We start from the raw sequence: 18,009 nt of genomic DNA, 5'->3' as shown, positions 1-18,009 counted from the left end.
CACTCCTGAGGTCTCAGCCGTCATCTCTAGCCACCATCATAAAACACTAGACTTCTGCCAACCCATAACTTCTTCCATGCCCTGTCACTAACTTGCTCTGTGATTCTGGGAAAGTCTGGCCTCTTTCTGGACCTCAGTCCTTTCAAATGTGAGTTTTCAAAGTTTTTAAAGCTTAATTCAAACAACGGTATTTTCAGAATCCTAACGTGTACAACAGATAAAAGGCACGGTGGTCACGGGTATAAATGTGTGTATATGTATTTATTTATACGTTAATATATATTCTTTGACCTGGTCAGCAGGAAGTATAAATGTGTATGTATGTATGTATGTGTGTGTGTGTGTGTGTTTATGCATGTGCACATGTGTGCATGTCTGTGTAGGGGCCAATGAGAACCTCGGATAACTTGAATGAGTAGCTCAGCTTCTTTCCCCTGAAAAATTCCCACTCTGTTCAGAATTGGGTTCTCAGCAGGTCTATTTTAAAATGTGACTCTGACCCATGGACACAGTCAATTGCTTCAGGAATAGGCACTGAACACCAGCAGAGCCAATCAGAACCCTTCTGAGGGCCTAAGAAATTCCAGTTTCAGTCTGATTTAATCCTCATGATAGACAGCCTCCAGGATGACCCTTAATAATCCCACCTCCTGGTGTTCACATCTTTATGTAATCCCCTCACTTTCAGTGTGAGCTGGATTTAGTGGATATCACATGGCTGAAGTTATGCCATGTAACTTCCTAGGTTAGATTACAGAAATAATGTGGCTTCTGCCATAGGGGCCCTATCTGGGGCTCTCTGTCTGTTATAGTTTGTACATTTGTTCCCACAAACCTCATGCTGAAATTTGGTAATGATGAAGTTGGGGCCTCATGGGAGATGTTTGGGTCATGGGGGCAGGTCACTCATGAGAGGCTTGGTGCCATCCTCAGAGTAATGAGTGAGTTATCATTCTATTAGTTCCTGAGAGTGAGTTATCATTCTATTAGTTCCTGAGAGTTGGTTGTTTAAATGAGTCTGGCACCTCCCCACTTTCTTTCCAGCCTCCTATCTTGCCATGTGATCTTTGCACATGCTGCTTCCCCTTTGCCTTCTGTCATGGGTGAAAGGAGCCTGAAGCCCTTACTAGAAGTAGATGCTGGAGCCATGTGTCTTGTACAGCCTGTGATCCAAATAAACCTCTTCTTTATAAATTACCCAGCCTCAGGTATTCCTTTACAACACTAAATGTCTCTCTCTTTCTCAGATCAGTCATGTGGAGGAAAGTAAGTTGCCATGTTATAAGCAATAATATGAAGAGGGCTGTAAGGCTTAGCAAGGCACTGAGGTTTCAGTCCTACAGCCCACGAGGAACTGAAGCTTGCCAACAATCACATGACTGGGTTTGGAATTAAATCATCTGAAGCCTGCCAACAGTAATGTGAGCAAACCTGGAAGCAGGTCCTTTTCATCCTTTGCCCAACCCACTCCCCACTTGAACCTTCAGAAGAGACCAAAGTTGTGGACAACAACTTAACTGCAGCCTCTTTGCAAACCTTGAGCCAGAGATACTCAGAGAAACTTGGCCCACAGAAACTTTGAAATAATACATTCTTGTTGTTTTAAGCCACCAAGTGTTGGAGTAATTTGTTACATAGCAATAGATAACTAAAACAACCCTTGACCAGGGAAGTGTCAGCCTGGGAGCTCTAGGAGACCATGTTTTACTGTGTCCCAGAAAGCAGACACAATAAGTCTGCAGTGACAGAGAAGGTGAAGTCAATGTGAAGTAATTCCTTGTGGCCTTCAGCGCCTTGGTTCCAGTTTACTTCTGAGACATAGTTCACCCTTGCCTTTGAAAATTCTGTTACTCATAATTGAGGACTGAAATGAAAGCCCTAAGCCTCTCCAACAGACTAATGGATGCTCCTTTGGTTAAAATAGACCCTACAAATTTTAAGATCTTGACATAACAAGATGAGAGGCTGGTCATGTTCTCTTTGCTGCCATGACCCACCCCTCACTTTCCATTACTAATCATTAATAGATTTTCTCAAAAGCAAGCTGGGGAGAACAAAAGACTGGAAGAACCCCTCACTTACTTCATCCAACCACCCAGTGCCCTTCTCCTATTTTTTGGCTCTGACATGACTTCTATCCCAGTGTACAAACTTCTCCTTGATAGCTGACAGCTGGCTGAAGACTGATTTTGGTTTTCTTAAGATGCTCAGAAAGCAGCCCTATGCATCATGCTTTACCTTTGTACATATAAGAGCTAATTATAATGTATTTAAATGTTAAGTCTCCACCCCAAAGTGAACATGGGTTATATGTTTCATACATGTAAACCTAATGTGCATGCACGTCTCCTTCATGAATATTAATAAACTCCTCCTATATACTGATGAATATGTATACTCTGCCATCCTGTTTAGCATACATTCCTACCTCTAATTCCTCCTCCTTGAAGCACAGATTTCTGATTTGCAGGAGGTTTCACTTCATGCCTGCCGGATATAGTCCTCCTTTAGAAACAAAGCTCTCCTTCCTAAAATTACTGACTTTGTGAATTTTTTGGTCAACATAATGAAAGTCTTTTTTTTCTCCGCTATTTGTATTTGTAATGAAATACAGGGGCTCTAACACATACATCCTCTTTCTTTTGCCATGCCATCCTGCAGGATGACCCAGGCATTGTCCATGCTGTGGAACTTTCCTTTCCTTGACCAGATGTCCCTCTCCTCTCCAGATAGCCAGAGACACTTTTCTGTGTGCTTCCTTAGACATCTAACATGTTTGAGATATTTACCACAATTCTGAGACTGTGCAATGCACCTGTCCGGTTTCCCAGTTAAAAGAATGAAATTGTTTCATTCATCTCTGTGTTCTGCCAACACCTTATGAAATGAGTTTGTTAGCCAATAAAATAGAGTAGTATTCAAGACACAACAGCTTTCCTCCTATAAAGCAGATTTTCAGTACGTATTATCATTTATAAATTCTGAAAATCTGATATCAAAAAATGCCTGTGTGCATGTGAACTTCAGTAGAGAGAAGGAATACATCCTGGGAAGGTTTCATGAAAACATCATTTGAGCTAGACTTTGACTAAGAAATAAGATTTTGACAGCTAAAGGTAAGGGGCCAGGTAAAGTCCTTCAGGTACACAGAACAGCTTGAGCAAAAGCATTGAGACATAAAAGTGCCTGAAGTATTAGAGGCATCATAAAGTAGTAAGTGGACTGAAGGGTTTGTAGTACATATCATAGAAAACAAGGCTAGAAAGGCTAGAAAGATAGTGGAGAGCCTCAAATTCCTTTGTCTGTGTTTATTTTGTGTTCTAGTATTAAGGAGAACTTCGTGGGGTGCAAGGATTAAAAGATGGCATCATAATAGCTGGGTTTTAGGAAGAGAACTCTGTAGTATAGATTAGGCAAGAGGATTGGTGGAAGACGGATACAGGAACAACAATTCAGTGACCGGTCTGGCAGTGTCAGTAGGAAAAGAGGCAAAGGGAAGACTGAAGTGATTTGGGAGGCAGGCTCTGTCCTGGTCTGCAACTGGGCTTGGAGTGTTTACAGTCCAGGGTAATGATTCCACCGGGCTGCCTGGTGGAGAATAACTCATGAGCTGGCACTGAGGATAGGACAGAGAGGATGTTGTCTTTTTTATCAGAAGTCCGCCCATAGGCAATAGTCAGATAAACCATGAAACATTCATTCAGTAGAATATTATATAGGCACTACAAAATATAAATGAGGCAGGTTATAGAAAAAAGGGGGCTAGTGGGAAACTATGAGATAGATCAAAATTGAATAATAAATTACAAAGGAGATGGGAAAGAAGTTGGAGATACAAAGGAAAAGTTGATGTGGAACAAACAGCTGGAACCATATGGATGAGCATGTAATGGATGTCTTGGAGACAGCATTTGTAACTCAGTGTGTGAGGGGAGGTGCCCTAGCCACTTCATAGAGCAGGGCTCATACACCAAAGGCTACAGGACTCCACTTGAAAGAGCACCCAGATAAGAAAAATGTCCAAAGTGTGTGCCCAATTTGATAACATAATAATAGCGCAGATGTAGAGTTCCGAGATGAACTGTTCCCATTCAGCACTGTTCAAGGAGGTGCCCACCTTGCACTTTACATTCCAGTTATAATAAACTGATTGTATTTTCCCAAATTCATCAGACATTATGCCTCTATGTCTTTGAAAATGTGGATGTCACTGTTTGAACTGATTTTCTCTGTGTTAATGTGAAACACTCTTATTTATGCTTCAAAACTCAACTGTAAAAAGAAAGAGACAGAAAGAATGAAAGGGAAGAAGGCAGGGAGGGGGAAAGAAGAGAGAGAGAGAGAGAAAGAAAAGAAAGAAGGAAAGAGAGAGAGAGAGAGAGAGAAAGAGAGAGAGAGAGAGAGGTATTCTCCCCTCCACACCAAAAAAGTAAGAAAAAAAAAAAAACCCAACTTACATAAATCCAACTCATAGAATTCTAATATAAAATCTGTAGCATCCCTAGATAAAGCATCATTATTTTTTCATATGAAACTTTCCTTACATAACATGCACAGAAAAAGGTAAACACAAAACACTAAAAACTGAGGTGATATCCTTCTAGGATGTTTTTCATCTGCATACTCAGGTTACCTCCTCACGAGGGAGACTCTTCCTGAATAAAAGTGCTGAATAAACATAATGTAGTATCACCATTGTATAAAAAGGTATGGGTTCTATGTTATGAAGCAAACAGAGCTTCCTATGTCATACATGGGTGTGCATGCACACAAACACCCACACACGCTACTTTCCAAGCATCTTTCTGCACTGAATTTAAAGACAGAAACTTTGAGAAAGCAACAAAACTGGGTATGATGTTTAAGTGCATAGTATAGGGGCATAGTGGGGAGTGCAAGGACTATAGAGGTGGAGATAGAGGTTGATGATGGCTGATGATATCTTTGGAAGTGTACATCCTACAGAGAAAGAGCTGTAGGTGGTGAGGAAATATTGAGCTGGTTTAAACAATATGCACTGGAGAAAAGTTGAGTCTTGGCATTCTGTTATTATTGGTTTAGAGTATATCCTTGTAAAAATAAGCAAGAAAATCAATCAGTAAACAGGTAAATGTAAATAACAATCTATAAAAAAGGTTCAAACTGTTGAAAAATATTTGAAAAAGTTAACATTATGCATAACTTTAAAACTCCAAATAAAACCTTGGATATCCATTTTTAGTTTTCATATAGATGACAATTTTGAAAAATAGTAATACTCAAGCACTCTCATACGCTACTAGAGATAATTAAGTGCTTTCTGGAGGACAATTTGACAATGCATATCAAGTGTCCAAAGATTAACTATGTCCTTTGATCCAAAAACTATATTACTAAAAAAATCATAATAGAAAAATAAACAAAGATGCATATTATAATTTATGAACAATGATGTTTATCACAGCACTACTTATGAGCAAAAGTTAGAAAACATCACAAATCCTTATTGATAGGAAAATGATTAAATACACAAAATATTTAAAAAGTTTTATGTTATTAATTACAAATAATAATTTTAGAGTAATGATACAGGAATATGTTCACATTATAATGTGAAAAAAGTAAAATATAAAAATCTGTACTTACAGACTAATCTTGATGTTGTAATAAAATAAAACATATATTTTATAGTTACATGCAAAACAAAAGACCTGAAAGGCATATGTAGTTTACAGATAATTATAATATTCATCTTTATTTTTATTTATTTTCCATATTTTTACAATTAACATTTGTTACTTCTCCAATAAAAGGAAAAAACAACTAATATATTACCTCCTCTTTACCCTAATCCTGACAGTCATTTTATTTGTTGTGCCATTTTTATGCTTATACAAACTTTTAATATTTTAACATTTAATGCTTTATTTTCATTTTAAAAATTAATTTGTCTTAACTCATTGATTCATCAAATACTTACTGAAACCTATTACATTCCAGACGCTGTTCTATGTACTGTCGATTAAGCAGGGACAAACAAAACCCTTATGTCTTTGATTTATATGGCCTAGAATATGGTTTATCTTGGTAAATGTTTCAGGTGCACTTGAAAAGAATGTCTGTTTTGCTGTTTTGGGGTGGAGTGTTCCGTAAGTGTTCAATTGTTCTCTGTCTTTTCTGGTTTTCTGTTGACTCGTTCCATTGATTACAGAGAAGGATGTGGTGAAGCCTCCAACTATATTTGTGGATTTGCCTATTTGTACTTTCACTTTTATCAGTTTTTGCTACATGTATTTCGAGGTTCTGATGTTAGGTGCATATACATTTAAGATTGTTATGTTTTCTTGGTGAATTGATCTTTAATCATTACAGAATGTCCTTTTTGAACCTGTTAATTCTTTATTCTATGGTCTTTTTTGTCAAATATTAATATAGCCACTGAAGTTTTCTTTTGATTAGTGTTTACATGGTATATTTTTCCATATTTTTACTTTTAACCTATAAACATCATTATATTTTAAGTAGGTTTCTCATAGATAGCATTTATCTTCTGCATTTTAAAATCCATTCTGACAATCTGTCTTTAAATTGGTATTTTTAGTCCACTTATATTTAACGTAATTATTGATATTGTTGAATTTGGGCCTACGAATTTCTTTCTAAAAAGTTTCTCTAATTTTTCCCTTAACATCTGTTGGACTTGATCTACCAACTTATTAATTGTTTCTTGTTTTTTCTCTGTTTTTCACTCCTCTGTTTTCCCTTTGCTTTCTATTTTGGTACTACCTATTTTTTAGTATTCCATTTAAATCTAGCTCTTGCATTTTGACCACATGTCTTTGTAAATATTTTCTGGTGGTTTCTCTAAGGACTGAGACATAGATATAAATATAGATACAGATAGGCACATGTGAATTAAATACATATTCACACATATTTTCACAGTATACTTGGAATTAATATTTTACTACTTCAAGTGGAAGATATAGAAATGTAACCACCACATAGCTCTTTTCAGCTTCCCCATTTTATGTTGCAATTGTCATCTAGAATACATCAACATACGTTGCAAACCTCACCAGTTGATGTCATTTTATTTGCTTTCAATTATCATTTTAAAGAACTTAAGAGAAAAATATTGTATCTTATTTACCCAGTCATTTATCATTTCTGTTGCTCTTTATTCAGAAAGTTCCAAGTTTCCCTCTGGTATTATTTCTCTTTTACCTGAAGAACTTCTTGCAGACCAAGTCTGCTGGTAATAGATCTTCATAGATTTTTTTTTCTTCTGAGAATATCTTACTTTTCATTTTATTTCTCATGGGCATGTTCATGGACATAGAATTCTGGTTGACAGCTCTTTTATTTCAGCATTTAAAAACGTTTTATTGAATTATGTCTACCATTATTTCTGATGAGAAATCTACTCCAATTCAAATCACTGGCCTTCCAACTGTTTTGTGTTGTTTTTACCTCTGGCTGCTTTCAGGTTATTGTATTTGTGTTTATTTTTCAGCAACTTTATTTTCATGTATCTAGGCAGACATATTTATTTGAATTTATCCTAATGGGATTCAATGAGCTTAAATCTTGTTGAATTTATATATTTTTCCAACATTGGAAAAATTTTAACCATTATTTCTTCAAAACTTTAATGCGCATCATAGTCTTTCTTCTCTCCTTCTGAAACCTTGATGATATCGTTATTAGATCTTTTGGTACTGTCGGAGGTCCTAAAGTCTCTGTTCATTTTTTAAAATTTTGTATTTACTGTTTTTAGATTGAATAATTTTTTATTAATCTGCCTTCAAATTTAATGACCTTTTTTTCCCTTGTCTGCATCCTGCTATTGAGTACATCCAGTGTATTTTTTTATTTTGGTTATTGTATTTTTTTTGGTTCTAAAATTTCCATTTGGATTGTTCTAATATGTTCTATTTCCCCTCATGCAGCTTTTAATCTTTCCATTTATTTTAACAGTGATCACGCTCACTTTTTGGAGCATGGTTAAAACAGCTTCTTTGATCATTCCAGCATTTGTGTTATCTCAGGTTAGCATCTGTTGAATGTCCTTTCCCTTGCAAATCATTGAAATTTTCCAGGGACTTCATATATTGAGTAATTTCAGACTGTAATTCCTGGACATATTGAATATTATGTCGTGAGGCACTTGGTTTTAAGTCATGGAAAATATTGATGTTAACTTTTTAAAGGAAGCAATTGATTAAGATGAATTTAGACCACAAGTTCCAGCTGGCTCAAATGTCAATTTAGTTTTCAGAGACTTTGAAGTGCTATTTGAATCCTCCTGCTTCTGTGCCACCCAGTAACCAGTATTAGACCTGCACAGTGGTCTACTTTATAGATGATTTCTCAAAGCTTTTGCTGTATTGTTTATGTTCAAATATATGCGTGTGAAGGTTGAGGGTAAGCCCAGGAGTTTATAAATAATGTTTTGGGATGGATTTCCGCAGCTTCCTCAGCTGAATACTTTTCCTGGAACTTTCCAGCTTCAAAGATTTTCCTTTCTCATCTTCTGCTGAGAAAACTGAGGCTTTGAATTGTCTACTCTGCTGTTTATATTTTGTTATTAGTTCTGCCAGCCAGTTCAAATGGTGAAAGAATTCAGAAAGGGGAAAGAAAGGCAATGAGGATTTCTCCTGTGCTCTTGGCTCAGAGTTTTGGGCATCTGTTCTACTAGTGTTGCCACCACATCCGCCATTGGCTCTGCTATTACTGCCACTGCTGCTACAATGGGTTTGCCTTGGGGCTGAGAGAGGATGGAAAAACAAACAAACAAACAAACAAATAAGCAAAACAAGCAACAAAACTACAAAATTCAAGGGAATTTTGACACTCTTTTTGTTCTTTAGGGGCCCAATTTCCTGCTCCTTCAACCAGAAAGAGAGGGCCTCTCTAAGAGCTCTTTCTGTCTGCACCTAGTGTGTACTTCTGGGTTTGAGGATTTAAAGATACTGCCAGTTCAGTGATACTTGCAGTTCATCACACTGCCTGCTAGCATTTGTTTTCTGGAGTCTTCAGATTAATGTTGCATGCATATTGTCCAGTATTCTCAGTTACCTTCAGTGAGAGGGGCAGAGAGAGGAGTGTTACTTTACCTTATATGTAACTGAAATTTCTATTTCTTTAAGGATACATTTATTTGTATGTAAGTCTTTCTTAATAAGCTGCTAAACTGTGAATTTATGTGGATGTGTATTTTTCTGTTTATTCTTAGCATTTAGCATAATATTTGAAACAAAATATGTGCTTTAAAAAGTTCAGATTAAATTTCTTTCCAACTTTTCTATGCTGAATGTATGGAGGTTTTCAGTTGTTCTTAATATCATATCTTTTAAATTGTTTTATTATTTTTTAAATTTATTTTAGAGACAGGGTCTCACCATGTCACCCAGGCTGGTCTTGAACTCTTGGCCTCAAGTGATCTTCTTGCCTCAGCCTCCCAAAGTGCTGGGATTACAGACATGAGCCACTGTCCCTGGCCTCAATACCATATCTTTAGGGAATGGTTTGTTGTATCATACTGCTCTTACCAAAACATATTGTGACCCAAATGCCCAAATGCACCACCCCAGGCACCTTACTTTCTCCCTGTGAATAATTTAAGCAGAGAACAAAATTCCTCCATTCACTGTCCTCTAGACTTGTAGGAAATGCAAAAGTGCTATCCATTTATTAGTGCTTTCTGTAACAGGCAATAAAATATGTCCTTCAATGCAAAGTGGTCTAAATACGTATATAGATGGAATTTTTCAAAAGCATCTCTGCTTTTCCAAAGATGAAAAGAAATAACTATAAAATGTGAGTCATATGTTAACTCATGCATTAGTGAAAGAAAGAAGTCAAACTAATAAAATAAAAATAATATGATCATTAAAAGAAGCAATGAAAAGTAGCATCTTACGTGGGAATTTTGCAAGGATAGGGCTGGTGTAAAGACACCCACTTCCAGCCACTTTGCCTTTCATTTTGGAGAACATTAAGGAGGACTTAGCGAAAGAATAATGGTAAAGTTATTTTCTCTATTTTCTTTTTCCCTAGTACCTCCTCCTCCAATAGAAGCAAACAAATAAACAAAAGAGACTCAATTATTGGTCAGCCTATAAGCTGTGTGCCTTGAGTTTGGGGATATACTGTAAAGTAAACACTAAGACCTTTGTAGCTGCTTACTAGTCTGGTGGCCAAACTTCAGGAAACTAATTACTTAAATGCTTAGGTAGCAGGATATGGAGTATTTAGGGTTTTTATTTTTTCCTTTTTTGCTTCTGGCTGTGATTTGTGATGTGAGAATGAAGAGGTTTTTCTTTTTTTTTTTTAATTTTTTTACGACTTTGCCTTCCCAGCAAGATATTGAATGAACCGAATGCAGGGACCCAAGGATGCCTCATTACCAGGAGTATTAAAAAGCCCTGCAGAATTGTTACTACAGCTAATGGAAATCATACTGGAAAGAGAGCAATTATTTCTCCCTGTAAACAAAACAAAACAGAAGGCCATAAGATTTTTCTTGAATTTTTTGAGACAGAAGTGTTCTTACAAAGATGTCTAGGTTAGTTTCCTACCTTTTAGAACTTGATAAGACCATGAAAGCAGTAATACAGGTTCTCAGGCAATTGTGTTTTAAAATTATTTTCTACTTTATTAATTCTTCTGATTACACAAATAATGTAAGATAATCACACCAGTGAGACTATGCAAAATATATGAAGAAAATGTTTTTAAAAATATCCTTCAATCCACTCTCACTATAACCCCAAACTATTTTATACATGTTTAAAGGAGCTATGTATTTACCTGTAATAAGGAGGCAAAAGCCATCTGAAGTATCAAAAGTTTCTTTCGTTTTGATTAGAGTTGTATCAAATTGATGCAATTATACCGACTAGGCAGATGCTGACCCCAAGTTCTGATTGGCAGTTCTACACGCTACTGATAAATACAAGTGGGGAACATAATTAGTACTTAACTAACAGTTTGGTAGCAAAGTAAGAGCCCATGTGAGAAGAATAAAAGATATCCTTGAAGGCAAAAAGATCCAGAACTTATCATCATTTGCCACCTGGCCCAGCATCCATGGGCATATCTAACTTGTTATACTTTCAGTAAATCTATGTAGGTTCTGACTCATACTCAAGTGGTAACTCATCAGTCTTTCCTTCACAAAGGTGGCGCAGTCTGGGGATATGCCTGACAGAGGTAATGGGTTATTGATTTTCATATTGCCATTGAGTAACAGTCATATTCTTCTGCATCCCATTCTTGTGGTAACTATGAAAAAGTAAATTTCTAGACTTAATAGGCTCCAATAGTTATTATTAAGGTGACATTTATGGTTCTGGAGACTGTCAATTCTTACATAATGAAATTAAGAACCATCCACCATTAAGCTAGAAGGAGTCTAAACACTCTCATAGTGACATGCACCCATCTCTGTACTCCCAGCTCAATGCCAGCTGAGTCAAGACATGAAAAGATCATGGATTTTGGAATCCTGAATCGTATTCTTACTACCTATATATGGTTCCTTATGTGTAAAAGAAAGAATACTAACATTTTTCTTGGGATCACTATTAAATGAAAAAGAGGCATACAAGTTTGGTAAATACCCTTTTCCTCCCCCTGGGGTAAGTTACTGTACCTGCAATCTTCCTGTGTATCTTAGCCCTGGTCTGACATCAGCAAAGGAGAAAATATTGTTTGCCTATCTCCAGAGAAAGATAACTTTACACAGATGAAAGCAGAATTAGACTGAATTCTTCCATTAAATCTTCACAAGTATATTATATAAAAGTTTTGTAAACAAAACTTTCGGGAAGTGCTGAGATGGTAAAGTGACATAGCTTCCTTTATTGAAGGAATTCTTGGTGATACAAAGCCATTTGCAGAAAGACTAGGAATTCGCTTCATCCAACAGTCCTAAAAGGCTTAACCCATTCCAGCATCAACCCAAGGGCAAAATCTCATATGTCATCAACTCAAATGGTCCCAAATGCCATCTAAGTGAGGTATAGGTGAGACTCTGGATATGACCCATCTTTGGGTAAAATTCCTGTACATCTATGGATCTATGGACTAGGAAACAAGTTATATGCTTCCAAAATGGAGTGCTGGAGAGGCATGGAGTTAACATTTTCATTCTCCTAGGGAAGCAGGAGCCTAGGAAAGCCAGGGTGACACCATTTTAAAAATGACCTCATCTTTAAACTAGCAAAACACATTCTTTGCTGGCCACAACCAATGGTCATAAGATGTTTGCAGTTAAGGGAGCAGATTAATAATGAGGATATTATGTGAAGTAGTTTCCACACTTATTTGACTCCAGAAAATGTTTTTCATCCAGAATAGTTTGTTGGACTAGAAATATGAAGAAAATTCTTTGGGAAGAATGATCACAAAAAAATCCATATAGCTGGCCTTTTGCTTATTTGACTGCTATGTGCCTGCCTCATACAAGCTTGGTACAATTGATGGCTACTGTACACAACAGTTTAGTAATCCTGTATTCTGCGTTTCTCATATCAGGTACACAGGGGAGGGTTTAACATTGGAAATGGGTGGAGTTCTAAGGGGAGTAGAAAAAGTTTGATTTAAAAAGTCGTGAAGATTTAAACAAGGAGTACAAGAGATGACTAAGATGTTTGCTCAATGGCAATGAAGAAATACCCTTAATTTGTATTGAAGCCAAAAGTCAGATCTCTGTGACTTCTCTAGTGGTATCAGCTTGGATTCAGGAGTGGAGATAGCAGGCAGGAAGCACTTTGAGGTAAGATGGAAACCATGAGAGGCCAAAATCAAACTTAGACAATAAATGCCAAGATACATAATCTGCAAAGTATTACGTGCTCCTAATGGGCTGCAACAATGACTACTGCTATTATTGTTATAAAAACAACTTGTGCTAATAAAATAAAACATCAGAAAAAGATTCTAGGGTGATGGCAATAATGTCATTAAATGATTGACCAAAGGATCCATGCTAGATGGGAGAAAAGTAAAGTCAGAACTGACATAGGTAGACAAGGAGGAGTGGTTGACTGGAAATCACAATGAGAAAAAAAGCATCATAAAGGGAAATGAGATACCATATTAGAGTAAGTAAGGCTAATTGCTATAATAATATCCCCAACTCTAGTGTCTAAGACAGTGACAGTTCATTTTTCTCTTGAGAAATCTTGTGCTGATGTGCTAGCAGAGTAGCTTTCCTACAGGCGGTGACTCAGACTCAAGATCTTTCTATCCAATTGTTTATTGAAATCCTCAAAAAGGCTGAGTGGTTGGCAAGAGAAAAACAATAGAGATTATGCATTATCTGTTAGCAGCCAGTTGGAAGTGGTATATATCACTTTTGCCAAAGTTTGCTTCAAAGCCACAACTAGACATATTGCAATTGGGAAATATAGCCTTTCTTTGTGCCCAGAAGAGAAATAAAACGACCTCCTGAAAAACATAACATTGCCCCCACAACACACAGTCACTGCCCTCACAAGCTAATATTAATGAAGAGCCAGGCAATCATCATTCATTCAATGAGAGAGTCATAGAGTATACACTAGGTTCTACCGAGTCACAGGGTCAGGAGTGATTAATTCTGGCTAGGTGAGTCCAACAAAGCATTATTGAAAGGTCGACTTTAACCTGAGCCTTGAAGGATGCCTGGGAGGCCACCTAGCAGAAAAGGCAAGGAAGAAAATTTCTAATGGAGAGAGGAGCATTAGCCAAGACAGAGAACTTTGGAAGAACATGGCATTCTTTTATATACAGCGGGTAGTGGAGAGAACACTGGAAGGATGAGGCTTCGGGGAGAGGACAGGCCAGTTTAAAGAATGGAGAGTTAATTTTAGGGTAAAATGAGGTCCCATGAAAGATTGTAAAGCAGAAGGAAGATTGGCATGATGAGACTGAACATTAAAAGAATAGCTGAAGCTGAAGTAGAGGAAGCAGAAGTGTAGAATACTGGAGAAGAGCAATATGGAAAATATTTTACAGTCTTCTTAGAAGTAAAGGATGAAAACGCACATGAAGCCAGCGGACAATAGGCAGGATCCATCAGTCAGTTTTGGTGATGGCTGAATTAACAGACTTGACTTCCCACCTTCATCTCCCATTCACTGACTGGAGGCTGTTGACCCTAAACTGAAATCACCCCATCTTTCACCATCTTCTAACATCTATAACCCCTTTCTCATACCTCCTCCTTTCTGTTCTTTCCCAAGTAACAAAGGACTTCATTTTGTTTTCAAAAACCCTACCAAGTTGCTGATTAGTTGGTTAGTTTCTGGTAAGAAAGACTATAAGGATTGACTATAATAGTAGAATTTTGAGCACTGGAAATCTAAAAAGTACATTGATTTTTAACAGAACATTCTTTTATGTTTTCATGAATAAAGCCATCTATACAAGATGCCTCCTTTATTTCTACATATAGTGCTGTCACGAACCCTGCCTCATAGGCAGTAATGGCTTGTTTCATAGACTGCACATTCCTGGTCACTAAAAACTGTTATCTTTTTTAGAAAAGTATCAGTTTGAACCACAATGCCCTATCATTTTCTTCCCTTCCCAAGATGTCTGTCATAGAAGTTTGATCAGTTTACATTGTCAATAATGTTGCCAAATTACTTGCAACACTGGAAAAAAGGGATCAAATAGCAAGATCAATGAGACATAGGGGAACCACATCTGGTGCTTTACATCAGTTGTCCACTAACTGCCAGTCTTAATTGGTACTGTGTTTAAAAATACAAATATTGCTGATAAGTAATGACACAAAGACATGCATTAATAAATGTGAAGTTCAGAGCTTTCTTTTGTGGCTTCATCAGTTTCTTTCCAGCTCCCAGACCCTTACCCTCTTCTGTCCCCCACAGACAACCATTGTTGTCTATTGTCTAAGAAGCATGCCATTCAGTCTCCAATGCAGAAGCTAGTCAGATTTTTCTATAGAAAGGCCATTTAGACTCCCACATAATAGGCTGAATATTAGCTTGAGGTTCTTGTGTGGATGGTTTAAATTGACTCTAAGTTACCAAGCTGTTTTCTAAGCATCAAATGACCACAAGGCATTATTACAGCACTCAAGACCCTTGAAGTTTTTAGTCTTAATACTTCTACCAATTGTACCAAGTTCTGCAATCAAGGAACAGAGGGGACAATCAGGTTCTGCAGAATGTCTTTTCAATCAATGTTTGTTGAATACTGTTGTAAGCCCAGCAGCATTCAAGATAAAATGGAATGGGAAGTGAAGATAAACCAAACTGTATATACACACAAGGAGTTTACCGTCTTGTAAGGAAGATACACACATATACTCCCGACAGAGATACACAATAGTATTGGAAGGATGGAGCAGAAGGGACAAAGTTAGGAGACATTTGAAAAATGGATTCAACTGGATTATGATACATGATTTTTGACTGAAATGCATTAAACATTTCCATAAGTAGGTACTTTGCTAAGCCCTTTCCATGCAAAATCACATCCAATCCTCACAATAACTCTATGACATGGGTATTACTATCCTCACTTACTTGCAAATGAGAAAACTGAAGCTCAGAAAGAAAAGATAGGCAGCTCTACCAAGCTTTAAAAAGGGGATAAAGTTAACATTTAAGCCCAGTTATGTCTGGTTCCTGAGTCTGCTCTCTTAACCATGATGCTATATGACTTTCTGAGATACTGGGGTTAGAGAAAGGGGAGATAAATATGTGGCTGAGTTTTCAAGTGAAGGCAATTACAAGAATGATGGTGTGTTTGCCACACAGCAGAGCAACTCCCATGTTCAGTTTTTATTATGAGGAGTTAGTTTGGGACCCAATTCAGGTGGTCTATACTCAGTAAATGAAAAGTGAATCAGTTTCCCTGAAAAATGAATGATTTTATTGAGCTGAAATTCACTTGATTTGGGAAAATAGAAAAACTTTAAACCCCTTTTGTTGAAAATACATGACTCTGGAGAAAAGTTAGCTTTTTTTTTTTTTTTTTGAGGTGGAGTCTTGCTCTGTCACCCAGGCTGGAGTGCAGTGGCAAGATCTCGGCTCACTGCAATCTCTGCCTCCCAGGTTCAAGCAATTCTCCTGCCTCAGCTCCTGAGTAGCTGGGATTACAGGTGCGTGCCACCACGCACGCTAATTTTTGTATTTTTAGTAGAGACGGGGTTTCACCATGTTGGTCAGGCTGGTCCTCAAACTCCTGAACTTGTGATCTGCCCACCTTAGCCTCCCAAAGTGCTGGGATTACAGGTGTGAGCCACCGCGCCCAGCCCTTATTCTAAACCTTTTATTAATAAGGATTCATTTAATTCTCATGATAGCCCCATGACATTGGTACTGTTTCCCCCCACTTTACAGATGAGAAAACTGAGGCAAAGAGAGGTTATGTTACTTTCCCAAGGTCTCTCTCATCTTGTAAGAGCTGTACTTGGTACTTGAGCTCAGGCTGATCTGATGTTAGAGTCATGACCACTGAGACTGCTGCATCTATTTCCAGTTGACGATGAAATGACCCAGAGCTACTGGACCCTTATTTGGAGGCTACCCCCAATTCCAGTTTCCAGAACCAACCATGTTTCATTTGGGGTTATTTTAAGGAAGCTTAGGTCAGTAGCTCAGGTTCATCTTGCTCTGCCCATGGACTGCTTCAGTTTTGGGAATCAGATTTTTCCTTTCTTCCTATAACTAAGCCCTTTTACATATTTCCTCTTGGGAAACTTTCTCTTCTTGGGCCCTATTCCCTTATAACCAGTAAGATGCTCTGCCAGAATACTTTTTCTAGGAAGCAGGCCTGCAAGGCTCAAAGCACTGCTTGCTCTTGTTAATCCTCAACCTGCCTCTAGGTTTATAGTAAACCCTAGAAAGATGGCTTAGGTTCTGCTACCCACTTACAAATTCCTTCTTGAATCCAATTCCTTCCAGATCTGCAGTCATGCTTTGTATTCAGGTTAGTATCCCATCACAATGTTTCAGGCAACCTTGGGGCAGCCCATGATCTCTTGTTAGGTCCCCTGGATGCCAGCTTTTGCGTGGATGCCTCTTGTCACTTGCCACCATGCCACATGCCACCATGATTTCTGTGCCACACCTTCTGAATGAAAGCATTTTCTAGAGCTGCTTCTCTCCTCCCCACCTCTCAGGTATTTATGCCACCTACCTTAGGTAGATCTAAACCCAGGGTTCAGATTCATGTAGGTAACTCTTTGATGTCGTACATTTTAACATAAATCACATGAGAGGGAGAAGGTGTAGGGGAAGCAAAGGAAGGAAAGGGTGCAGTGGGAGAGGCAAGAAGGAGATACAGAGGAAGAAAATGAAAGACTGAAGAGAAGGAATCAGGGAAGGAACTAGAGAGGGGGAGATAGAAAAAGAGTGAGGAAGAGTAGGGGAGACAATGGGGAGAAAAGAGAAGAGAAAAATGCAGCCACACCTTTTTAAAAAGTAGAGTTGAAAATATAAGAACACAATTAACCCTTCCCAGGTAGCAGATACTGTCTTTCCAGTCACCCAACAGAAGCAAAATAGTCACAATGGCTTCAAAAGTCCCACAGTTAAACTTGAACAAGTCGTGGAACTGTTTGACATACAGAATCCAAGAAGGGTTTCTCTTTGAGTGTTGTCACTACACGTTAGACTTCCTAGATTCTCCACTCCCAAAGGAGCCATTTAACCTCTGCTTGAATGTTAATGTTCTGTTGGGGAAAATTGTCTTATTTCCACTATTCTCACAAACAGTAGCAAGTATTTGGTAAATAAAGGAAATTTAAACAGCTTGGGGAGTGCCTATGCAATGCCAAAACCAACAGGCAATCTGATAAAAAATTTAATTCATCAAGCCTATTTATTGATCCTTTTATTCATTTGTTTGCTGAGCATCTGCTGGTGCAAGACAAGGTATGCATGTGAGGAGATCTTTAGCTGGACTCATGTTTTATCTGCCTTCAGAGAGACTTCAAGCTATTTTAGGATAGGGGACTTCACACGAATAATTACAACACAGGATAAGAAGGGATAACATGAG

Source organism: Homo sapiens, chromosome 3, assembly GCF_000001405.40.
Source record: "Homo sapiens chromosome 3, GRCh38.p14 Primary Assembly".
Lineage (NCBI taxonomy): Eukaryota > Metazoa > Chordata > Mammalia > Primates > Hominidae > Homo > Homo sapiens.
The sequence above is the reverse complement of the archived record's forward strand: the minus strand, read 5'-3'. Positions refer to the sequence as shown.